Here is a 23,784-nt window from a genome sequence, read left to right on the forward strand (position 1 = left end):
GTGAGCCGAGATCACGCGCCACTGCACTCCAGCCTGGGTGACAGAGCGAGACTCTCTCTCAAAAAAATAAAATAAAATAAAATAAAATAAAATAAAATAAAATAAAATAATAAAAAAACCACACCATGACCAAGCAGGTGGGCAGTACTGCTCCATTTCATAGATGAATCTGAGGCCCCAAAAGTTAAAAGCTAGTTCAAGGTTGCTAAGGGGCAGATCTGGGATTTGAACCAGGTCAGCCGACTCCCAGCTTAGTATTCAACCTGGACATTCTGCTGCTTCCTGACAAATTCTGAAACAGTCACTCATAGGGAGCCCAGGTAAGCTGGACCAGCCTTAACCTCCCTCCCGTCCACTCAACCTCCTTCTCTCTCTGAGCAGGCGCTGAAGGGTCAAAGCCTGCCTGGAATGCCCCCCTGTCCTGGTCCCACTGAAGAAGCCACAGGCATCTTCCTTGGGAGCTCCTAGGGCTCAGCCCCGGCCCAGCCACACCTGGCTCCTCACCTGGGGTGTAGCTGGGGCCAGAATGGGTGCCGTGGAGCACAGACACAGTAATGGAGGCCTCCTTGGGGCCCGATCCATTCTCCACACGGCACACATATTCTCCAGAATCAGCTGGTGAGACCTGGGGGAGCCGCAGACGGGAGCCGTGCACCTGGGCCAGGAGGAGCCAGAGGTACGTGAGGACAGGGACGGGGGCTATTGTCACCACTCCCTCAGCCTCAGTGATTCATTCAAACTCTCACTGGCTCTGCTCCGAGCCATCCCATGCTAGAAACTGGGAGGGAGGGAGATGAGGCCTGGCTTCTGCTGGTGGAACGTGTGGGGCAGTGTGCCGCCTCCCCCGCCCAGCGTACAGGCCCCGCCTCCGCCACAGCCCCTGCACCCTGGGTCCCCTGCCATAGGCTCAGGGCCCACATACCTGGGTGTGGGGAGGCAGGCTACCCCCTCGCCTGTACCAGGTGACCTGGGCATGGGCTGACCCTGCCACCACACAGTTGAGGTCGAGTGTTTGCCCTTCTGTCACAGAAGGCGATGAGGACTCAATCTTGACCGGCGGTGGGCTGGCATCTGAGGCTGGGGCCAGAGTAGGGGTCAGCAGGCCCCAGGGGAGCCCTGGCTTGCCCTCCCCACCCCTCCATTCCCAGAGAGTCCGTACCTGAAAGGACAACCACTTGGATCCGGGCCTGGGCAGTGCCTGCAGGGCTGGTGGCCACGCAGAGGTAGAAGCCGGCGTCAGCAGTCGTGATGGCTGGGATGAGCAGTGTCGCGATGTCTGTGCGCTCTGACCGGGCCTGCCGTGGGTGAGATGGGTCAGCTGCCCCAGAGGCAGCTGGACAACGGCTGGCCAGGGGGACAGATAGGGCATAAAAGGGAGAGGCAGGTGCAGGGCCAATATTAGGGCCCAGTGGGGCATGAAGGAGGACAAACGCCAGGCAGCCAAGAGGACGGCAGGGGCTCCCTGCTGGGATGCAGGGGCAGGAGACCACCATCTTGGAGGTGAAGGGAGCCACAGAGGAGGAGGTGGGGTGGGGCGTGAAGGGGGAGGGAAGGTGGCTGGGACTCTCTGCAGAGCCTGTGGGCCTCCTCCTCCTGGGTGGGCCCATCTCCTCACCTGTGGTGGGAGGCTGCCCCCTTCCTTCCTCCAGGTGATGGTGGCGCTAGGCACGCCTGCAGCCCTGCAGTACAGCCTGACGGTGCGGCCTGCGTGGACCTGGGTCCTCTCTGGGCTCACTTGGACTCTGGGCCCACCGCCCCCTGCAGACAGAGTCCTGTGAGAACACGCCCTGGGCTGAGCACACTCCCGGCCCCCACCCTGAGCCCGGCCTCTCACCATGCACGTGGAGCACAGCCCTGGCCACCTGCTGCCCAGCGCTGCTGTGGGCTCGGCACAAGTACTGGGCCTGATCCGTGGGCTCGACAGCTGGCAGGCGCAGGATGCCGCCGTGGATTTGTGCCTTCGCAGGGAGCTGGCCGCCGGGGCCCCCTGACGAGTAGACGTGGGGTCAGCACCCACCAAGCCTGCTCAGAGTCCTGCCCCTCCCCTCCCACACCCAGGAGAGTCAGGCCTTGAATGTCATTCCCATCACGGCCTCACCTGTCCACTCGAGGGTGGGCGTGGGGCTCCCTGTGGCGCTGCAGCGGAACTCCGCCAGTTGCCCGGGCTGCACTGTGAGCTGTGGCGGATGGATGGAGACCACGGGGGCGGACAAGGTGCCCGAGGCTGACAAGGGAGGAAAAGGAACATGCACTCAGGGTGGGGAGTGTCGTCTGACTCACACAACAGTCCTGCTGCCTACTTTCTCTGCTTCCAGGCTAGCCCTCCACGGCCATCTGTGCACACAGGAGCCAGAGGGAGCTTGGGAAATGTCAACAGGACCTTGTGACCTCCCACCTTGAGACCTGTCCATGACTCCCTGTTGCTTTTAGAATAAAATCCAAAATTCCTACCCTGATCCACCACATACTCCATGCTCTCCCGTCTGCCCACACCCGTCCTCCCTCCCACAGCCCCAGCCACGTGGTCTCTGCTGTTCCTCAAACATAGCAACGTGCTCCTGCCTCAGGGCCTTGCCATGTGCTGCTCCCTCTGCCAAGAACACTCTGCCAACTCTCTAACTTGCTCAATGCCTACCTTTCCTTCAGGTCTCAGCTTAGGTGTCACCTCCTCAGAGAGGCCCTCCCTGACTGCCCTATCTAGAGTAGCCCTTGCCTCTCCCACCTTGTTTTATTTTATTTATTTTTCTGAGATGGATTCTTGCTCTGTCACCCAGGCTGGAGTGCAGTGGCGCGATCTCGGCTCACTGCAACCTAAGCCTCCCGGGTTCAAGCGATTCTCCTGCCTCAGCCTCCTGAGTAGCTGGGATTATAGGCACCTGCCACCACACCCAGCTAGTTTTTGTATTTTTAGTAGAGACAGGGTTTCACCTGTTGGCCAGGCTGGTCTGGAACTCCTGACCTCAAGTGATCCACCTGCCTCAGCCTCCCAAAGTGCTGGGCTTACAGGTGTGAGCCACCGCTCCTGGCCTTCTCCCACCTTGTTTCTTGCTTTCTCATCATTCCTAGCCTGGCACTCATCGCCATGTGTAGTTATCTTGCTTGTTCATTTATTCCCATGCTTATGGTCTCCCTGCCTAGGACGTGTACTTCAGGAGGACCGAGATACTGTACATGCTTCTCTCCCCTGCTTCTGCAGAGCCTAGACCAGGACCAGGCATGCAGCAGGTGCTCAGAAATGATCAGCAGAATGAAGAAATGCTGTGCTAATTCTGGTGGGAATGGGGGAGAGACAGGAGGGGAGAATCAGGTATAGATGGGAGGTGTACCCTGCACATGTAGAGTGGCTGTGCCCTGGTCCATGGCAAACATGTTGGAGCCGGTGCACACGTAGGTGCCTGCATCACTCAGCTGGACGTTGCGAATGGTCAGGATGCCATTGAAATCCATGGCTCGGGTGGGCAGTTTCCCGTTGTGCAGGCGGGTCCACACCAGGGTATAGGCTGGGGACTGCAGGGCAAGGCGAAAGGGGGTCATGGGTGGGGCTCAGAGACCCCAGAAGACAGACTTCCTCCATCCCCACTCCCTGACCTGCACACCTTGCTTTTGGCTGTGCAGATGAAGGTGACGTCAGCTCCGGGGCGCACGCTCTGGCTCCGCTGCTCCTCCACAGTCACTGTGATGGGCTTGCTTGGAGCCTCTGCAGGGACGGGAAGCCCCCCTGTGAGCCGGTGCTGGCTAGGCCCCGGTCCTGTGGCCACTTTGTCTTTCTCCATAACCTCTAGGCATCACTTCCTTCCTGGTCCAGCCTAGCTCTCATTCTACCCCCTGGCACCTCCCTCCCCCATTCTGGCTGAACCCCACCATCCCCACCCTCCTTGCCAGCACAGAGTGGCCACAGGATGTGGTTGGGGAACATCACACCATGGGTCCACTTGGCTCCAGTTCCTGATCACAGACCACAATGAGCTCCTGACACATCACACCCCACTCCAACTGGGTTTCTCCGTCTGGTTTGAGTTTCTATCCCCCAAAAACAACTATTTCACACCTCCTCCCATCTCCTCCAGCCTCTCCAACCACCCTTCCACTTTCTTAGCTAGTGGCGCTGACACACACTTATGGAGAAAATAGAAACGACAAGTCAGGAGTTTTCCCAGCCTCTCAAATCTACCAGCTCTCTAGATACTGGTCCCTGAAGGACAGGCCCCTTCTCCTGCCCTCACCCCATCCCACTGCTGCGCCTGAGTGCCACCCCTCCCCGGGGCTTCTTCTGCTCTCGCAACATCAGCGTCTCCTCCTTCTCATGCGATCACTTCGGTCCAGAGTGCATTCTAGGATTTCCCATTTCCGAAAACTCCCCCTTGACCTCATGCTCTCGCAGTCAATGACCCACTTCCTGGCCTCCCTTCAGAGCCAAGACTCTTGCAGGAGTTGTCCACACTCGCTGCCTTCCCACCCATGTGTCGCCTCCTTCCAATCTGGTTTCTATCCCTTCTCTCCACTGAAAACCGCTCTTGTCAAAGCATGACCTCCAAGGGCTATTTCTCTGCCCTTATGTGACTTCCCAGCAGGGAGGCTGCCCTGAAAGCCCTTTTCCCTCTGATTCCCATGATGCCCCCTGTCTCTTCCTGCCTCATGGCTGCACTCTCTCAGGCTCTTCCTGCCCTTCCTCTTCCATTTGACATGTTCACACTGGAGCTCCTCAGGACTCTGGGCTGGGGCCCTGTCCTCGGGCCACACTCTCCCTAGGTGACTTCATCCTGTCCCATAGCTTTGAACACCATCCCTGTGCCAACAGCAACCATACTCATTTCTCTGGCTGGGGCCTCTTACTGGAGTTCAGACTCACATACCCAAATGCCTGCCTGGTGGACTCAATGAGATATCTTCCCAAACATCTCAGACTCTAACACGTCCAAAACAAACTTGCGATTCTCTCTGACCTGTTTGTAGCCTGTGCTGCTGGTGGCCTAGCCACGCTTCCCACCCCCCGTGCCCACCTGCCTGACTTCTGCCAGCCACTGCACTTCTTTGCATTGAGGGCTTTCTCAGGCCACTGGAGCCCACAGTGCACACCCATGGGTGGGACAGATGTGCAGGGGACTTGATGCTCCCAGAATAGGTCTCAGTCAATGACTGACAGAAGCTGGCCTAGACATACTGCAGCTCCTTGGACCCCAGGGCAGGGTGACTTTGAGGTGCGTGTTTTACACCGGCTCCCTTTAAAAGCTTCCTCGGTTGTACTAAGCAACAACTGCTCACGGTGGCAATCTGCTTGGTGACACAGCCTTTATGGACGCCCTCCCATCCCTGTCTCACTTTTCCCTGGACGACAGGGCAGGGTGACTCTGAGGTGCATTATTATTATTATTTTTTTAAGACAGAGTCTTGCTCTGTTGCCCAGGCTGGAGTGCAGTGGCGCAATCTTGGCTCACTGCAACCTCCACCTCCCGGGTTCAAGCAATTCTCCTGCCTCAGTTCTCCCGAGTAGCTGGGATTATAGGTGTGTACCACCATGCCCAGCTAATTTTTTCATTTGTACTAGAGACAGGGTTTTACGACGTTGGCCAGGCTGGTCTCGAACTCCTGACCTCATGATCTGCCCACCTTGGCCTCCCAAAGTGTTGGGATTATAGACGTGACCCACCGTGCCCGGCCCACCCTTTTCTTTTGCCCTCACCGACCAGTCAAGTCCTGCTGATCCTACCTCTAAAATGAGTCTTGAATCTGCCACCTCTCCTCATCTCCATGGCTGCTGACCTTGTTCGGGCAACCACTGCCCCCTCCCAGCAGGTGAATGCACCATCTGCCTGAATCTGCAGCCTGCAGCCCAGCCCAGGACAGGCAGTCTTGGTTACAGGGGGCGTAGGGACTCACCAGTGACCAGCAGCTCTGCCCGGCTGGTATTGGATTGGTGGAGATTACGGCAGGTGCAAATGTAGACCCCAGCATCCGAGGGCTGGACGCTGGGGAAGTGGAGCTCGGAGCCTGGTGGGGAGGAGACAAGAGCTTGTTGGTGCAGATACACTCTTTCTCACATCCAGCCCCATGCACAAGGACAGCATCCCACTAGGGCAGGGACAGGCCCCTGCCTCCCCTCCCACTGGGATGGCTCTTGGGGCTGAGGAGCCTAGGGCCATGGGTACCTTGATGTCGCTGCTGGGTGCCGCTGGGCACAGGCCGCCCATCCTCACGGGACCAATAGAAGTAGTGGGGTGGGCTCCCACTGACCTGACACCGCAGGGAGTGGGAGCCACCTTGGGGCACTATGCTTCGAGCAGGATGGACCTCGACCACCAGTGGGGCTTGGTTTGCTGGGGGTGGGGGCCGGGACAGGAAGGGCCTTTCAGCATTGTCTTCAATATCTCTGCTCTCCCAAAAGCTGGGGTACCCCACCCTCAGCCCTGTCCCCAGACCCAGTATCCCCCAAATTCCCAGGGCTCCCTGCCTTGCCCATCGTCCCCATCCTGGGCCATGGTCCCACTTACTCTCTGGCAGGCACTGGCCCCCTTGCACACTGGGGTTACCCACGTAACCTGGGCCACACCTGTAAGGGGGAACAAGGGCCGGCAATGTCAGGCCTCAAGGGCCCCAGTGCCTCATGGTGGACTTGGGGAGCCAGAAGCTCAGCAGGCCACCCAATGTCAGGTGAGGAGGCTCGGAGCTCTGGAAGCACTTTGGGGACCAGACAGGCCCCAACGCAGGGTGCTGGTGAACTGAGAAAGGGGAGTGTAAGGGAGTGTTAGCAGGTTGGGTGATGAGAGAGGTAAGGTCTCTATTCTCCAGAGAAATTCATTCAGCAAACGTCCATTTTTTTTTTTGAGACAGATTCTCGCTCTGTCACCCAGGCTCGAGTGCAGTGGTGCGATCTCGGCTCACTGCAAACTCCGTCTCCGGGGTTCACACCATTCTCCTGCCTCAGCCTCCCAATTAGCTGGGACTGCAGGGGTGCGCCACCACACCCAGCTAATTTTTTGTATTTTTAGTAGAGGCAGGATGTGCTAGCCAGGATGGTCTCGATCTCCTGACCTCATGATCCGCCCACCTCAGCCTCCCAAAGTGCTGGGATTATAGGCATGAGCCACCACGCCTGGCCAGCAAATGTCCATTAAGCAATGACTGAATGCCAGGCATGTGCTATAGGTGTTGGAAATACAACAATGAATGTGATAAAGTCCCTGGTCTGTGGGACTTACTAGTTGGGAACCCAACATGGAAATTCTACATGAAAATGAGAGTGCAGGAAGCATATCAGGGCTGTGCGGGTGCAGAGGAGGGCACTGGCCCAGCCTGGAGAGCCAGGGAGGCTTCCAAGAGGATGGGACTTCTCGTATTACCTCAGAGCAGGCTGTACTTTTCTTTCAGATAACTTAACATGGTTTGTAAATACACATTTGCACAATTACTTTTTCCCTGTCTTATCTCCCATTAGGGCTGATCTCTTATTAGGTGGCAGACTCCGTAAGGGCTGGGGTGGAATCTGTTCTGTTCACTCCATTATCTCCAACACCTCAGCACACAGCATGGTACACAGGAGCTGCTTGATAAAAATTTGCTGAATGAGTGAATGAAGCTGGGTCTGAAGGCTAAGGGGAAGTTAGCCAGGAACGGGTGGTTTAGGGGTGAAGACTGTTCCATGCAGAGGGAACAGCATAAGCAAGGCCTGAACATCAAGAATTCAAAAAGTGGCTGGGCATGGTGGCTCACGCCTGTAATGCCAGCACTGAGGCAGGAGGACTGCTTGAGCCCAGGAGTTTAAGACCAGCCTGGGCAACACAGTGAGACCCTGTCTCAGTTTAAAAAAAAAAAAAGAAAGAAAAAGCATTTAAAAAGTTAAGCCCAGCTAAAGTACAGAGTTGGGTGTCAGAAGTGGGATGAGACTGCTACAGTAAAGCTGCCTAAGGAGGGTGGGCTTGTCCCAAGAGCAATGAGGTGTCTTAGAAGTGTTTGAGGCAGGGAAGGAGCATAATCCTAGAAGAGACTTTTCTGAGCAACACCCTTTAAGGCTCTCACTTGGGAGTCCACCATTTGTCCTCCACCCTCCCCCTACTTCTGTTTACAAACTTACTGCTCACAGTACTGGCCAGTGTAGCCGGGTTCGCAGGCCGTGCAGCGGTACCCGCCGGCTCCCAGGCTCTCACAGGTGCGGGAAAACCTGGGATCGGGGAGGCAAAGGTCAGGTCATGGGAAGCCCAATCTCCATCTTGCTCCCTTCACTTCTGCCCCAAAAGCCAGTGCAACGCCTTCCACTCATTCCCCAGTGGAAGTGTGTCCTTGGGCCTTGAGCTAGGGTACCCACATGTTCTCTGGGTTGGTCAGTGGGCAGGCACAGGGCTGGCAGTCCTCAGGCGTCCCGGCTGTGGCATCTCCGTAGTAGCCAGGGGCACAAAGCTCGCAGAACTCCCCTGCGGCGTTGTGCTGGCATTGCTGCAGGGCACAAGGAGGGCAGGCACCAGCCATTAGGCCAAATTTACCAGAAGCCTTTCAGGGTTGCAATCCCTTGATCTAGAAATTCCAAGTTTGTGAACTCATCTTAAAGAAAGAATCATGGAAGGGCACAAAGATTTCATTACAAGGACACTCATCTCCGTGGTGTTTATAAAAAGCAAAATGGGCTGGGCACAGTGACTCATGCCTGTAATCCCAGCACTCTGGGAGGCCGAGGCGGGTGGATCACCTGAGGTCAGGAGTTCAAGGCCAACTGGCTGACACGGTGAAACCCCATCTCTACTAACAAATACAAAAATTAGCTGGGTATGGTGGTGTGCGTCTGTAGTCCCAGCTACTCAGGAGGCTGAGGCAGGAGAGTTGCTTGAATCCAGGAGGTGGAGGTTGGAGTGAGCCGAGATTGCACCACTGCACTCCAGCCTGGGCAACAGAGCGAGACTCCATCTCAAAAAAAAAAAAAAGAAAAAAGCAAAAAAAGCTAGAAACAAACCTAAACATCCATGAATAGGGAATTGGATAAATTAAAAAGTACATCCATCCAAATAGCTGTCAAAAAGGGTGATGCTAATTCTATTTTCTCCCTAAGTACCTGTGATAGCAAAGGAAAGGTATACACTCAGGTATTTGGGGGCAGAGCATTAAAAATGTGTATTGTCAGCCGGGCACAGTGGCTCACGCCTGTAATCTCAGGACGTGGGTGGATCACCTGAGATCAGGAGTTAGAGACCAGCCTGCCAACATGGTGAAATCCCATCTCTACTAAAAATACAAAAATTCGCCAGGCATGGTGGCAGGTGCCTGTAATCCCAGCTACTCCAGAGGCTGAGGCAGGAGAATGGCGTGAACCCAGGAGGCGGAGCTTGCAGTGAGCCGAGATTGTGCCATTGCACTCCAGCCTGGGTGACAAAAGCGAGACTCCATCTCAAAAAAAAAAAAAAAAAAAAAAAAAAAAGAGGCTGGGTGTGGTGGCTCACACCTGTAATCCCAGCACTTTGGGAGGCCAAGGCGGGTGGATCACAAGGTCAGGAGATCGAGACCATCCTGGCTGACACAGGTGAAACCCCGCCTCTACTAAAAACACAAAAAATTAGCCGGGTGTGGTAGCGGGCGCCTGTAGTCCCAGCTACTCGGGAGGCTGAGGCAGGAGAATGGCGTGAACCCAGGAGGTGGAGCTTGCAGTGAGCCCAGATGGCGCCACTGCACTCCAGCCTGGGTGACGGAGCGAGACTGTCTTGAAAAAAAAAAGAAAAAGAAAAGAAAAAGAAAATACGTGCATCCTCATAAAAACATGTGGGTTACAGATTCTCCTCCAAAGAGATTCACGTTTGTGGTATCAACAATAGGGTGTTCCTTGCTCCAAGTTTAGGTTATGGCTGTCAACCACCTGCCCCTTCACTGCGTACCCTGGGGGGCTATATACATGCTACTCTGAAAAGTCAAGGTATAAAAAATATATGTAATGAGGCCAGGCACAGTGGCTCATGTCTGTAGTCCCAGCTACTCGGGAGGCTGAGGCATGAGATTCACTTGAACCCAGGAGGCAGAACGAGACTGAGACCCTGTCTCAAAAAAAAAAAAAAAGTAAAAAGGCCAGGTGTGGTGGCTCACGCCTGTAATCCCAGCACTCTGGGAGGCCGAGGCGGGTGGGTTGCTTGAGCTCAGGAGTTTAAGACCTTCTGAGCAACAAAGTGAGACCCCATCTGTATTAGATAAAAAAAATTTTTTTAAGAAAAAGAAAAAAATAGTAAAGAACCAAAGTTTTCTTTACACAGAAGGATGTTATTCCATAGCTCTGGCCACCCCACCATCCCCGGTGACCTGGCCTGCTGACCCAGGTGCTTTGAACCACAGGCCATGCCCCATGATCCTGATCCCCTGGATTGATGCCTGCCTTGTCCAGCCCTGGTCCCCCACCCAGGCCCAGCTGAGCTGACCCCCTGTCCTGGCCTCGCTTGCAGCTCACCGAGCAGGCCCCAGTCTCTGGGTGGCACAGGTCTGAGTGGCCATTGCATTCACATAGCTCGCAGTGGCCGAGGTAGAGCCCACTCCCGGTGCGCGTGTAGCCGGGGGCACAGTCCTAGGGGCAGAGAGGAAGGTTGGCCTCTGTTCCCAACGTGCCCCACCCACAGCCAGCAGACCCAGAACCCCTCCCTCCAGTGTCCTCCCAGGGGTGACCCTGGAACATCACAGGCCGGCGCCCCTCCTTCCCCACTTCTGCTCAGTCTGTCCTCCCACCCACGGCCCTCTCCCAGTCCACACTGTTCACCTCTGGGAGGCATCTCTATGCTGTGCTTTGGGCCGGAGTAATCTGTGTTTCTGAATTGGCTCCCTGTCTCTGGTGGGCCCCCTCAAGGGCATGAACTGGGTTTTAACCCCCGGAGAGTGTGGCCCAAACGTGAGGCTGCACTGCCCAGTGGTTAGGACATGCTAGGCTTTGGAGTCAATCAGACCCAGGTTCAAATTAGTTTCTGCCACACATTAGCCGTGTGCCCTTGGGACACACTCACCCCTCAGCACCTCTATTTTTTTACCTGTTAAAGGGGATAATGATATGTAACTCAGGGCTGTCGGGAGGAATACATGCAGGGCCCAGATGCAGGGGTCATTATAGTTATGATGGTAATCAAGGCTGCGGCGACGCCGGCTGATTTGCTTGCTGATGCCTCTGTGCCTGTGCAGAGGTGGTGGAGCTGGCCACACACTCACCTGGCAGGACAGACCGATGTAGCCTGGCGGGCAGCGGCACTCCTCCACCTCGAGGGCGCGGGGTCTGTTTGAGGGCCCCGGCTGGGCGACCTCCAGGCTGACTGCGCTGATGCTGGCCGCCAGCGGCACGGAGGAGAACGTGGCCCGGATCAGGAGCTCATCCAGGTCGGCCAGTGCCATCAGGAGGTGCTCGCGTGTGGCCGGCTGCCCATCGGGCCGGCGCCAGAATTCCTGGGTTGGGGGTGGCAACGTGGGCGGGGGCAGTGGGCTTTGTGGGCTGCTCCTACAGTTACCACCCCCCAAATCCTGCCTTACAGGCACTGACTGAGGGCTGCCAGGTGAAGGTTGGGGAGCGAGAGACAGGGTGGGTATCAAAGCCAGGCTCTGAGTCAGGGTGGAGGGTGGGGTGGGGTTAGACACAGCATGGCCAGGTGCCCCTTACCTCTCGGAACATGATCTCGTAGCTCCTCCTCTCAGGGCCCTGCAGCGCTGGCTGGGAGGCCACTAGCATGATGTTGTTGCCCTGGAAAGACACCAGCAGGATTGGAAGGGGAGCCGAGGGGTCCCTGGGGTGCCAGGGTGTCCTCCACCAGTCCTAGATTCTCTGTAACCCCCAGCCTCCCACCTCTCTGCTCTCCCAAGCTCATGCGCCCAAAGGAGTCAGGCACATGCCCACTGCCCCCTTCTCCCAGCAGCAGGATCCTCTGCTTGGGTAGTGTCCAACCAGGCAGGGATGTGGGGGCATGGGCCTAACTCCCCCAGCCTGTGCCAGAAAACTGAGTGCTGGATGGAAAGGACAAAGGACAAATGCCGAGGGTGCCCCTGGCTTCCATCCTGCCCTTCTGCCCACCCAGCATGGTGTCCAAATGCTCACCGTGATCTGCACATCGGGGTCAGAGAGTGGGCTGCCCTGTGGGCCTGCTGTGTAGGAGAGGGTGTATCGCAACTTCCCACCGTAGGCCGCCACCTGCAAAGAGGCAAGCCCAGAGGTCACAGGCTGACCTTGGGGTGTGAGTGTTGGACCATATAGGTGAGGGATGGAGCATCTGGCGGCCTTTTTGCACCTGTGCCACACTCCCCCACCCCCCTCCCTGCCCAAACCAAGAGGCCAGGGTGCATGGTTGCCTGGGAAACAGGACATTTCTCAGTTCCTCTGTAGCCCCAGACATGGTGGTGATGATGCTGAGCAGCCTCTTTGCTCTGCAAGGTTCTCTATTCCCCATTGCCTGACGGTGCCGGCGAACAAACTCCAGGTCTGCTTTCATTTACAGGAATTTCCCATAAGGCAGACAAGTGTAATGACAATGACCACCATGGGGAGGCTGCGGAAGCTTCAAAAGTTCTCAGCCATGGGGGTGGGGCTGACGGCAGCCCCTCGGAGGCCTTGCCTCCTAGGCAGGTGGTTTTTGTTTGCCCAGTATCCAGTTCCTGCTTTCTAGAAACTAAACCGTGGTTTTCTATAAAGAACAACTGTCTCCGCACATGCAGACCATGTGGTCTGAGGGCCCTGATCCCCTCCTCCTCTATAGTGGAGACATGAGCCAGGCCTGGCCAATCTGCATAACCTACCACTGCCCTTTGCCACCCCATCAGGGATAGACAAGTAACCCGTGCACTTATGCTCTTTCTACCAGGCCAGAGAAAGTCCCTTCTGCAGTCAGATGAGAAGCTGGAGAACCAAGATAAAGCCCTAATGAGCCCCTGGATAAGGCCATGCCTGACACCATACATGCTTAGACTCTGCAGTTGCATGAGCCGATAGATTCTTTGTTGCAGACAAGCCCACTGGACTTGGGCACTGTGTTGCTCATGACTGGGGAGTCCTTACTTCTGCTGCAGAGGACCTTCACGTGGACAGCTGAGGCTCCCCAGCTCTGTCCCACAGGACTTTGCTTTCTCTCCTCTGCCACCAGGGCAGACATTCATCTCAATACCAAACTGCATCAAGCCTACCTCTTTGTTCATTTGTGTGTTCACTCAGCTAACCAGCATTTATCAAACACCTGCTGATTACACACACGGCCCTGGGCTACATGGCTACAGGGATATTCTCCATGAGCTCAAGGCATGGTAAGGAATTTTGGAGTGGAACCAAATAACCATAAAATAACTGGTTTCCTGCTTGCTTTGAATGCCAGAAAGTTCACAGCCATTTCTGGGACTGACTTTCTGGCAAGTTGCAGGTGTGTACAGCACAGTGATTTTTAAAAATTTTTTATTTTTTTTTTCACCTTTTTTTTTTAAATAGAGATGGGGTCGCCCTATGTTGCTCAGGCACTTTTTTTTTTTTTTAAATAGAGATGGGGTCTCCCTATGTTGCTCAGGCTGGTCTCAAACTCCTGGACTCAAGCGATTGTCCTGCCTCAGCCTCCCAAAATGCTGGGATTACAGGAATGAGCCACCATGCCCGGCCGATTTATTTTTTTAGAGACAGCATTTCGCTATGTTGCTTAAGCTGGTCTCAACTCCTGGCCTGAAGCGATTTTTCAGCCTCAGTCTCCCAAAGTGCTGGGATTATAGGTGTGAGCCATTGTACCCAGATCCAGCATAGTGATTAAAACGGCAGACTCCACAGTCTGAATGACCTGGGTTCAAACTCTAGCTCTACTGGCTATACAGCCTTGGACAAGTCGCTTCACCTCTCTGAGCCCTACTTTCCTCACATGGAAATGGAAGTAAAAGTAATACCCACTTTGAAGGGTATCATGAGGATTAAGTAATATAGGACACAAATGGTGATGTACTCCACACAGTTTGAGAATGCATATCACGCTTGATAACCCTGCAGTACTCCAGCTCCACCCTCGGCTCCAGCAGATTGCTTCTTATCCTCACCCCTCAACCTCCCTGTCTCACTTCTCTGAATGTACCTTGTGACTGCCTATTCTTTTTTTTGTTTGTTTTTTGAGATGGAGTTTCACTCTTGTTGCCCAGCTGGAGTACAGTGCTGCAATCTCAGCTCACTGTAATCTCTGCCTCCCGGGTTCAAGTGATTCTCCCCCTTCAGCCTCCCAAGCAGTAGGATTACAGGTGCCTGCCAACACACCCGGCTAGTTTTTGTATTTTTAGTAGAGACAGGGTTTCCCCATGTTGGCCAGGCTGGTCTCAAACTCCTGTCCTCAGGTGTTCTGCCTGCCCCAGTCTCCCAAAGTGCTGCGATTATAGGCATGAGCCACCGCACCCAGCCAGGAAGCTGAATTTTTTTTTTTTCTTTGAGATGGAGTCTTGCTCTGTTGCCCAGGCTGGAGTGAAGTGGCATGATCTAGGCTCACTGCAACCTCCGCCTCCCAGGTTCAAGCAATTCTACAGCCTCAGTCTCCTAAGTAGCTGAGATTACAGGCACCCGCCACCACGCCCAGCTAATTTTTGTTATTTTAGTAGAGACAGGGTTTCACCATGTTGGCCAGGCTGGTCTCGAACTCCTGACCTCAGGTGTTCGCCTGCCCCAGTCTCCCAAAGTGTTGGGATTACAGGTGTGAGCCACCACGCCCAGCCTGCTATGTGTATTCTTAAGAGGTACTTGAAATTGTTGGAACAAAATAGAGGCAATATGAATACTCATCTAAGGCCAATGCCAGCACTCATGATGATAATAATAATGATACTGATGGTGACAGGAATGATAATGGGATGGACAGGGAGCTCTGGGAGGCCAGGGCCCACTCGGCCTGTACACGACGCAGCACACAGTAAATAATTAATGCTTCTTGAATGACTGAGTGAAGTACCAAAAACTAGGCCAGCATCTAGACACAAGGTCAAGGAAGCCCAGAGAAAAGGCACTAGAGAAACCCTCCCAGGCGAGACAGCTCCTCTGACAGGGGTCAGGGGCCAGGGGTCAGGGGTCAGGGCCCGCTGAAGGACAGGGGCAGAGCTGAGTTCAGTCTCAGCTGTGCTCTGACCTGAACATGAGACCCCAGGCAAGTCTCTACCCACCGTGAGCCTCGGTCTCCCCATTTGTGTCATAAAGGGCCTTGACAAAGGGCCCTCTGATATTTTGGGATTCTATGACACCCCTATAATCCCCCCAAATCCTTGTTACCTTGTCCCCCAGGAAGGCCCGGGGCAGCTGCCAGTAATAGAGGCTTCCAGGAAGCAGAGAGAAGCCTTCGTAGGAGAGAGAGAACTAGGAGGGAAGGGCAGGTGGTAAGAGCCGAGGGGAGCAGGGGTGGGGGTGGGAGGGCGGAGGTGGTTCCGGCAGGGGTGGACCGTCATGGGAGGGAGGCCTGGTGGCAGGGCAGAGAGACAGAGCCCCCCACTCCCACCCGACAGTGCGGGTCCTGGCCTTGCTCTTTGGACGACTTTCTTCCCAATCCCGGCCCAGGTCCCCAGCTGCTCTCTCTGGGCGTGGCCTGGGTCGGCTTCTCCTCCCATCTGGTGGGTCTCTTTTGTGGACCAACGTTTACACAGCACATCAGTAAACAATTTCAATGGGATGGCTCCTTTCATATGTATTTGAAAGAGAGTAACCAGCCTGAGTTGGTACATGATTGATTTAAGAGAAAATTGGAAAGAAATAATAGTCCAAGTAGTTCACAGAAATTGGTGAAGTTGGTTCAGAAATGACTGAAGTCTAGAAAGCATGGTGGGTGGGGATCCCTTGATGGGCACCTTGGCACATACCTGAGAGCCTGGTGAGAAAGACAGAGAAGCTGAGGAAGAGGAGGAGGAGGAGGAAGAAGAAGGAGGAGGTGCTGCTCGCAGAGCAGCTGCAGGCTGGGGATGAGGAGAGAGCCCCTGGGGAGGGGGTTGGGGTTGGGCAGCAAAGCTGGACAGGAGCTGCCAGATCTCAGCATCCATCCGTCTCTGAGCCTCGTCCACCTGGGGGACCAGGAGCCGAAGAGCGGCAGAAGGGAGCAGAGAGGGACAGAAAGGACGTCCGTGAGGCTTCACCTCCCCACGGGCCCAGCCAGCCACCCGCTCTGCACTGTCTGCTCACAAGTGCTGATACCTGGCACTCTGGCCCTTGTACCCACTGCCCTCTTGTTCCTCCTGAGCTAGGCGGGGATATCCCGGGATGGGTTTGGCTGCCTATGGGCCGTGACTGATGGGAGAAGCCCTACAAAGGGTGCCCAGCAAGGGAGGGGCAGAAGTGCTGGAGGCAGCCCCAGGGGCATCTGGACGGGGTTGTTGCTCCTCGGCCTGACTCTCTTTGTGTGCCCTGGCAACAGCCCAAGCCATTCATGGTTCTGGAATGTTTCCCAGGGGAGACACCAGAGCAGACCAGGCATCAGGCTGGGGCCTGGCCTGGCATAGGGGAAATGGCCCAGGAAAGCTGGAGTCTTCGCTCAGGTGCCTGCCTGGACTCAGCTCTCTGGTCTCCTCGCTGTGGCCCTAGGTACAACCTGTCCTAGCCAGGTCCTCAGTTACCTGTGATGCCCGCTGTGCCCAGTCCCTGCCCTCTGGGGGCTCTGGGATCCTCCCAGCTGTCACGGCTGCCCGCAACTGCTCCTCTGAGAGGGATGTGCGGTTCTGATGAAATGGAGGGAGCAGGCGAGCTAAGACCTCCCAAAGTCCTGGAGCTAGAGCCATGGGCAGGGTCCTCTACCCACGGACATGGTAGTCAGAAAGGCCCACACTAATTAGGAAGAAAGATGCATGCCCCCCCTCTCCAGGCTGGCACCCAAGGGTTAACTCCAGGCCGCCCACATGCACACAGAGGGTTCATGGTGGTTGCTTGAGAGGCAAGGCCAGGGGAACCCGGGGGGCTAGATACAGTCATGTGGATTAGCATCGGGTTAGTCTCCTTGCTACCTCAGTTGCCATTCTGACTTCAGACAGTTGGCACCAGGACCAGACCACACAGCAGGTGAGGCAAGGTGAGGCACATACCCTCCTGGCTCCAACCCTGGGGTCATGGGACACCGCCTGGATTCATGCAGACCCCCAATGCCTTGGGCACTGCGCATCTCCCCACGCAGGGCTGGGAGCACCCGAGAAGGCACCACGCCCCACCACACCAACTTCACACCACGCACGTCCTGGGCCTACCTGGTGAGCCCGGCGCATCCGCGCAAAGTACGCCTCCCCCTGTGGGGCGCAGGGAAATGCCAGGACAGGAGACAGAGATAGGTCTGAGAATTGCAGGACAGGGCAGCAGGGAGGCCAGGAGATAGCGAACCCCAGAAGGGAGAGGGGAGAAGGGACCAGAAGGCAGCCAGCCCCGGGAGAAGCCTGGAGTACCTGGCTGTGTCCAACGAACAGGGATAGGGCAACCCCAACCCCAGAGCGTGGGTGCCACCGGATGCCCGTGCTGCTCAAGAACACATTTGGGCAGGTTGTCCCAGAGCCCACCCCTGAGCCCCTGCCCCCCACAACACCATCACACCATCGCCACCACCATCATCACCACCTTTCCACCAGACCCTGTTCTGGAGTAGCAAAGACAGGTTCACCTCTGACTGGCAGAGTATTTGTTTTTTTTTTTTTTTTTTTGAGACAGGGTCTTACTCTGTCACCCAGGCTGGAGTGCAATGGTGCAATTATGGCTCACTGCAACCTCCCCATCCTGGGTACCAGCGATCCTCCCACCTCAGCCTCCCTAAATAGCTGGGACTACAGGCATGCACCAACACGCCCAGCTAATTTTTTGTACTTTTTGTAGAGACGGGGTTTCGTCACATTGCCCAGGCTGGTCTCAAACTCCTGAGCTCAAGTGGTCCTCCCGCCTCAGCCTTCCAAAGTGCTGGAATTACAGGTGTGGGCTCTGGCCTTTGGCAGAGCATTTGAAGGGCAGCCTCTGACCTGGGTTTGGATCCCGGCATTCCCACCTCCCAGCTGCGGGGCTTTGGGTAAGTTACCAAGCCCCTCTTGCCTTATTTATGAAATGGGGCAGTAGCAGGACCTGTCTCACACAGTTGTGATTTGTGATTTGTAAAGGATGCTGCCTAGCACATAGTGAGAGCTCAACACACATGACCTATCATGAGAATTACTGTGTCCAACACAAGCACAGAGCCAGCAGTGTGGATGAGTGAAGTCGGAGCGGGCACGTGAATGACACTGAAACTGTGTCTCACTTGTCTTTATATTTCCCGGCCTCTCCCAGATCTGTTTGTAGAATAACTGCATGAAAGCTAAAAGTCATGAACAGCTGAGCACTTATTATGTGCCAGGCACGATCTCCAATCCCCTCAGCCACCATGAAGTTGAGGTTTATCAAATGGTGTCTGGCTGGCAAGCGGCAGAGCTGGGGTTCAGACCAATGTCTATGGGACTGCAAAAGCCACGTGCCTAACCACGATATGGCCATGCAGGTGGCAGGTGCCTGCCTGCTGAGAGACGGCGCAGAGGTGAACTCATGTCTGAGTCACGGCTGACCCTGGTGCTTGGCTGGGGCCCACCTTGTCTCCCTGGTATGTCTCCGGCAGCTGCCAGTAGAAGGACTCATGGCCGAGTTGGGCAAAGTTGCCAAAAGAGAGCTGGGCACCCTCGGGCACGGGTTCCACAGTGAATTCTCCTGTCAGGCGGCTGTTTCGCTGTGGGTTCACCAGGGCAAAGCCTTGGAAGTCCCCAGGGGCAAAGTGGGTGGAGATCTGGCAGGGGAAAAAGGAGGGGGCGTCAGCCTGAGCACCGGGGTGCCTTGGTGGGGGATGGGGCACGGGAGGGTGTTAAGGTGCGGAATGGGGTCCTGTTGAGATCAGGACTGCGAGAGAAATAATGGGGGCATGTGAGGGTACTGAGGCGGGGATGAGGGTCGCTGGGCTCAGTGCTCAGATGGACAGTAACAGGCAGCAGGTGGCAACACCGCCTGGGGCTGGGCAGCACAGGCTCTCACCAGGTGGCGTGTGTAGGCAGAGCTGGCGCACTGCTGGGTGATGCCCATACAGAAGCAGGGCAGGCAGCCGTCTGGGTTGCTGGCACTCAGGTGGAAGTGGTGGGGCCGGCAGTGGCTGCAAGTGAGGCCTTCCACCTGGGCCTGGGTAGACGGATGGAAGGAGGCAGGCAGGGGACTCAGTGGGTCTCCTGCACCCCCAGCAGCCTGAGGCCAGCCTCCCTGGCCACTTCCAGCAGCCCCGGGCAGCCCCTGCCCTGTCCCCCATGCCCTGCCCCCCATGCCCAGGTCTCGGCTTCCACCAGATGCTGCCTGATTTCCCCGCAGGGTCTGGGCAGCGGGGCAGAGCAGGCCCCGCAGGGACAGGGATTCGGACTGACCTTGCACTGGCACTGACCAGCAGCATCACACTGGCTGCTGACGCTGCCTTGGGGGTCACAGTTGCAGCCTATGGGCCCTGGCACCTGGCTGTCTCCTGAGGTGGAAGAAAGCCATGGCTGGAGCCCCAAACCCGCCACCCAGCACCCCTCTTCCCTCCACTCTGCTCACCACTGAGCGGGAGCTCTGATTTCTGATGTGAGTACTCAACACTCTCACGACAGCCCTCGGAGGTGGTGGGGCCTTCTCCTATCCCCATTTTACAGATGAAGAAACAGGCTCGGACAGGCAAAGCCAAAGGGGAGTAAAGGCTTCTGTCCTAGCTCCGCCCTAGGGACTCTGGGTAACCCGACCCCAATGACCTCCCCAATCCTACTCACTCTGGCATGGCTGGCCCTGGCTGGGGTTGCCATAGTAGCCAGGGGCGCACCTGCAGAGAGAAAAAGCCTCTGATGAATTTTGGATGAAGGGAAGCAGAACCCCAGGGCTGGGCTGAGGGCCCCATATTGAATTCAATGGCCTCATGCACTGGAAGAAAAGAAGAGCCTGACTCGCCCATGTTACGGGGAAACTGGGCAGAGAAGAGCAGGGACGTGCCCTGGACCGCACAGCCAGTGAATTGGGGCAGGTAGGAACCCAGGAGTTTCAGAAAGAAGCAGGGGTTTTGTGGGAAGACTCTGGCCTGGCTGGGGCAGGGGGCCAGGGGGCTGAAGGTGAACCGCAGGCTAGGATGTGTGTCTGAGGGTCTTGAATTCTGGGCTAGAGGTTGAGTCTCCCGAGGAGGGGAGCTGACTGTCTTCTGGGGCCTGTGCGAGGTTAAGAGCGAGAGGCATCCCTGATTCCTCTGGGTTGGGAGCGCTGGGCCCTGCCTGAGGATTCCAGGGACACCCCCTGTGCGCATCCCCCCACCCTCTCCACCCCCTGCCTCACCTCTCACAGTGACGCCCACTGTGGCCTGGGGAGCACGCATCACAGGTGGGGTGGCCGTCTGTGTCCAGAAAACAAGTGTGGGCAGCCCTGAGTGTGGGGGCAGATTTCTAGTCAGGAACGCAGTGGCTCCTTCCTCTCCCCCGATCCTCCTTCAGGACCAGGGGAGAGGGGAGGGGAAGAACAGGCATGTGAACTCATGTGTCCTCAGTGCCACTGCATGCCTGGCACTGTGCTAAGAGTTCCACATGCATAGCCTCATTCAACTCTCACACAAGGGGCTGAGGAGGGTGGACTACCCCATTTCACAGATGAGGCAGCTGAGGCCCTGAAAGTGAAGTGTATCTCACACCAAGTGACACTGAGCAGGCAGTAAGGCCAGGATTTAACCACTGCCTCTCAGAAGGGCCCTGGATGAAGCGGGTGTGGGAGCGGGTGGTAGACATTTCAGGGAAGGGCAGGTGCAGGCAGGGACTGGACGCACTGGCCGGCAGCAGGGTCTCCGTAGCAGGGGCACAGCTGGCAGTCCTGTGGTGTCCCCCGCTGGGCGTCCCCGTAGTATCCTGGCTGGCACTGCTCACACCGAGGGCCCTCCGTGTGATGCTGGCAGCCCTGGAGGAGCAGGATGTGAGTTGAGGCTGGGCCTCCAGAGGCCACAGATTGCTGGGGTGGGCGGAAGGAGGGCGGGACTTACCTGGCAGGCACCTGTTTCTGGCTCGCAGGCCTCTGAGTGGCCATGGCAGCTGCAGCGTTCACAGGTACCCAGGTAGAGGCCACTGGGCGTGCGTGTGTAGCCTGTGTCACAGTCCTGGGGGCAGAAAGATGGCAGTGGGAGGGACTTCCGAACACGGCCCATTCAGGTAGGGGCACTGGATGGCCAGGGCTGGGGAGGTGTGGAGGGCTCATGGAGAAGGAGCGGGAAGCACCATGGAGGGGGCTGGCTGGGCTGGCGTGGGGCCCAGGACTCACCTGGCAGGACGGCCCACGGTACCCGGGTGGGCAGGAGCACTGTTCCACTTCCAGCGCGGGGTCCTGGCCGGTTTCCTCGGGCACAGCCACGTCCATGCTGATGCCAGAGACCCTGGGCGTGACAAGACCCAGCGTGAATAGGAGTGCTGGCTCTGTGCCAGGCACGCCTGGAGTCCTCCACTGGCAGGGTCTTATTAGTCCTCCCGACAGCCCTGTCACAGTGCTGCTGGGGCCCTGTCCAGATCTCCAGAGGCTGCGAGGACCGTGGCAAACAGCTGTTACCTGCAACTTACTCCAAACCATCACCCTTCCTCACCTGGAGAGGTTATACCACCTCGTTCCCCTGGGGTCCCCAATGACAGGCTGATACAGGCTACAAGAGCCCACGGGCCTGAAAGAACGATCACTCTCCGGCGAATGACTCTCCAGAGCTCCCTGTGGGCTGAGGCTGGGGCTAGACTTGACCTGAAACCATATCCCTGCATGGCCCCTCCCCCCTCCTGCGTCCCTCTCCTTGTGAATCACATGCACCCCAATCCCCGTCTCAGGCTTCTTTCTAGGGAGCCTGGCCCCAGACCAGCCTGTATGGGAGACATTGTTAAGACTCTCCGTTTTACAGACAGGGAAAGTGAGGCACAAAAGGGTCACACAGTCTGTAAGTGGCTGTGCTGTACTGCACCGCTTAGATGGAGCCCCTCCCCAAGCCCATGCTGGTCCTCCTGCCCCGGCTCCAGACACCTGCTCTCAGCGGGCTGCTGGGCGTAGGATGCTCGGATCAGGAGGGTGTCGATGCCTGCCAGTGCCATCAGCAGGTGCTCCCGTGTGGCTGGCTGCCCATCGGGCCGCTGCCATGCTTGCTGCCAAGGAGAGGACACATGTGCTCAGCCCCTGACGTCCTGGAGTATTGAATGCCGGAGAGGCAGGAGCAAGGGCCTGCCCGCACCCCTACCCCCAGGGGACAGTATTGCTCACCTCCCGGAAAGGCACAATGAAGGTGCTGGGCTGGCCGGGGCTGGGCTCCTGGGCCACATGGTGCTCTAGGATGATGTTGTTACCTTGCAGCACCACCAACGGCTGCCCGTGCAGGGGTGTGGAGCCCGGCTGGGACCTCTGGGTCACTGTGAAGCGCAGCTCTCCTCCATAGGAGGTCACCTGGGACCAGGGTTAGACAGGAGCTTGCGGAGGCCTGAATTCGGGCCCTGTCACTGCTCCAGCCACCTTTTCCATGCAGTGTATCTCACTATTCTCCCAAGGCACCACGACCCTCCCGCCTCCAAGCCTTTGCCTGCGCTGTTCCTGCTGCCTGGAGTTTCCTTTGCCTTTCCACCCACTACCCACCTTGTCCCCCAGGAAGCGTGAAGGGAGGCTCCAGAAGTAGGGTCCAGATAAGAGTCTGTGGAAGGAGGAGAATCCCAGTTCCCCGGGCGTGGGGGAGAAGATGCCCTCGTTGGTGGTGTGGGTGCTTGCGGCGTTGGTCAGGCTGAAGTGACCAGGCTCCTCAGAGGCCCCATGCAACTGGGAGGAGGAGAAAGGGCTGGGATGGGGGCCGTGGCCTGGGACTGGCGCTTGGTCCATCCGGCCCAGGGCTTGGCGGTCCTGCCCGCCCACCTTGCAGAGGTACCTGGGCACGGCTCCATGAAGAGCTGGTGCAGTGGCGACTGACACCCATGCAGAAGCACTTGAGGCAGCCATCGGGGTTTCGGGTACTCAGGTGGAAAGAGCCGTCAGCACATTCATTGCACAAGCGCCCCACCACATTGTTCTGCAGGCACAGAGTTGGAGCTGAAGGACAGCCCATGGGAGAGGCTGCCTGGAGCTCTGGCCGAATCCACCCTCAGTCCAGATAAGAACCCAAGACCCAGGGGAGCCACTGAAAGAGCACATGTGGCTGGGCGCGGTGGCTCACGCCTGTAATCCCAGCACTTTGGGAGGCCAAGGCGGGTGGATCACCTCAGGTCAGGAGTTCAAGACCAGCCTGGCCAACATGGCAAAACCCTGTCTCTATTAAAAATACAAAAATTAGCCTGGCGTGGTGGCACACAGCTGTAATCCCAGCTACTCAGGAGGCTGAGGAAGGAGAATTGTTTGAAACCGGGAGGTGGAGGTTGCAGTGAGCCGAGATCGCGCCACTGCAATCCAGCCTACGCGATGGGAGCGAGACTCCATCTCAAAAAAAAAAAAAAAAAGAAAAGAAAAGAAAAGAAAGAGCACATGTATGAGGCGTCATTGCCATCTGAATAGTAATTCCCACTTAACAAGCACTTAGGCAAGCATTTTTCCCTTTTCTCTTTGGCTGCCAGGGGGTTCACCAATAAATTTAGACTTGAAATACAGCGACTTGATTGAAATAATTGCTGCTTCTATTTATGGAGTGTTTCACGCACTGTTCTGCTTTCCATTCGACATCACCTCATTTAACTCCCCTAAGGACCTTGAGAGGTAGGTGATACCTTCATCCTTCACATGAGGAAACAGAGGCTCAGGGATGTGAAATGACTTGCACAAAGTTACTCAGCTTGCCCATCCACTCTGGGATTTAAGACCAGGAGTGCCTGACTCCAGAATCCATCCATTCTTTTTTA

At 56.5% G+C, this 23,784-nt stretch overlaps 1 protein-coding gene across 9 annotated transcripts in view, besides 4 other annotated features; it reads right to left on the reverse strand.

The window, feature by feature from the left end:
- HSPG2 (heparan sulfate proteoglycan 2) overlaps nt 1-23,784 on the reverse strand; it is a 115,067-nt gene that overhangs the window by 31,445 nt on the left and 59,838 nt on the right. For 6 of the 9 annotated variants that reach the window (NM_005529.7, NM_001291860.2, XM_017001122.1 and 3 more), the window contains 29 exons: nt 22,824-22,964; nt 22,541-22,717; nt 22,175-22,354; nt 21,941-22,059; nt 21,203-21,314; nt 20,928-21,041; nt 20,718-20,845; nt 20,237-20,323; nt 19,687-19,736; nt 19,309-19,403; nt 18,932-19,072; nt 18,498-18,689; nt 12,029-12,121; nt 11,597-11,677; nt 11,155-11,385; nt 10,412-10,525; nt 8,300-8,427; nt 8,069-8,155; nt 6,489-6,547; nt 6,147-6,314; nt 5,878-5,988; nt 3,597-3,697; nt 3,327-3,507; nt 2,099-2,224; nt 1,835-1,987; nt 1,616-1,758; nt 1,160-1,295; nt 923-1,077; nt 505-655 (listed from right to left, as the gene is read on the reverse strand). In NM_005529.7, the coding sequence (NP_005520.4) occupies nt 505-655; nt 923-1,077; nt 1,160-1,295; nt 1,616-1,758; nt 1,835-1,987; nt 2,099-2,224; nt 3,327-3,507; nt 3,597-3,697; nt 5,878-5,988; nt 6,147-6,314; nt 6,489-6,547; nt 8,069-8,155; nt 8,300-8,427; nt 10,412-10,525; nt 11,155-11,385; nt 11,597-11,677; nt 12,029-12,121; nt 18,498-18,689; nt 18,932-19,072; nt 19,309-19,403; nt 19,687-19,736; nt 20,237-20,323; nt 20,718-20,845; nt 20,928-21,041; nt 21,203-21,314; nt 21,941-22,059; nt 22,175-22,354; nt 22,541-22,717; nt 22,824-22,964 (3,754 nt within the window). Of the gene's footprint in view, nt 1-504; nt 656-922; nt 1,078-1,159; nt 1,296-1,615; nt 1,759-1,834; nt 1,988-2,098; nt 2,225-3,326; nt 3,508-3,596; nt 3,698-5,877; nt 5,989-6,146; nt 6,315-6,488; nt 6,548-8,068; nt 8,156-8,299; nt 8,428-10,411; nt 10,526-11,154; nt 11,386-11,596; nt 11,678-12,028; nt 12,122-15,196; nt 15,281-15,777; nt 15,976-16,524; nt 16,699-17,145; nt 17,185-18,497; nt 18,690-18,931; nt 19,073-19,308; nt 19,404-19,686; nt 19,737-20,236; nt 20,324-20,717; nt 20,846-20,927; nt 21,042-21,202; nt 21,315-21,940; nt 22,060-22,174; nt 22,355-22,540; nt 22,718-22,823; nt 22,965-23,784 lie in introns of all 9 variants that reach the window. The other 3 variants (XM_047419090.1, XM_047419080.1, XM_011541318.3) reach the window with 1 other exon arrangement.
- Nucleotides 10,872-11,677: an enhancer, noted in NCBI's record as "H3K27ac-H3K4me1 hESC enhancer chr1:22191053-22191858 (GRCh37/hg19 assembly coordinates)". NCBI's record gives its function as "activates a minimal SCP1, AML or CMV promoter by ChIP-STARR-seq in naive H9 embryonic stem cells {active_cell/tissue: H9 hESC(naive)}" and the evidence as "EXISTENCE:reporter gene assay evidence [ECO:0000049][PMID:30033119]".
- Nucleotides 11,678-12,483: an enhancer, noted in NCBI's record as "NANOG-H3K27ac-H3K4me1 hESC enhancer chr1:22191859-22192664 (GRCh37/hg19 assembly coordinates)". NCBI's record gives its function as "activates a minimal SCP1, AML or CMV promoter by ChIP-STARR-seq in naive and primed H9 embryonic stem cells {active_cell/tissue: H9 hESC(naive and primed)}" and the evidence as "EXISTENCE:reporter gene assay evidence [ECO:0000049][PMID:30033119]".
- Nucleotides 12,380-12,439: an enhancer, noted in NCBI's record as "active region_340". NCBI's record gives its function as "activates an Ori minimal core promoter by ATAC-STARR-seq in GM12878 lymphoblastoid cells {active_cell/tissue: GM12878}" and the evidence as "EXISTENCE:reporter gene assay evidence [ECO:0000049][PMID:35858748]".
- Nucleotides 12,470-12,539: an enhancer, noted in NCBI's record as "active region_341". NCBI's record gives its function as "activates an Ori minimal core promoter by ATAC-STARR-seq in GM12878 lymphoblastoid cells {active_cell/tissue: GM12878}" and the evidence as "EXISTENCE:reporter gene assay evidence [ECO:0000049][PMID:35858748]".

The sequence above is a fragment of the Homo sapiens genome, chromosome 1 (assembly GCF_000001405.40).
Source record: "Homo sapiens chromosome 1, GRCh38.p14 Primary Assembly".
In the NCBI taxonomy this organism is placed as follows: Eukaryota; Metazoa; Chordata; class Mammalia; order Primates; family Hominidae; genus Homo; species Homo sapiens.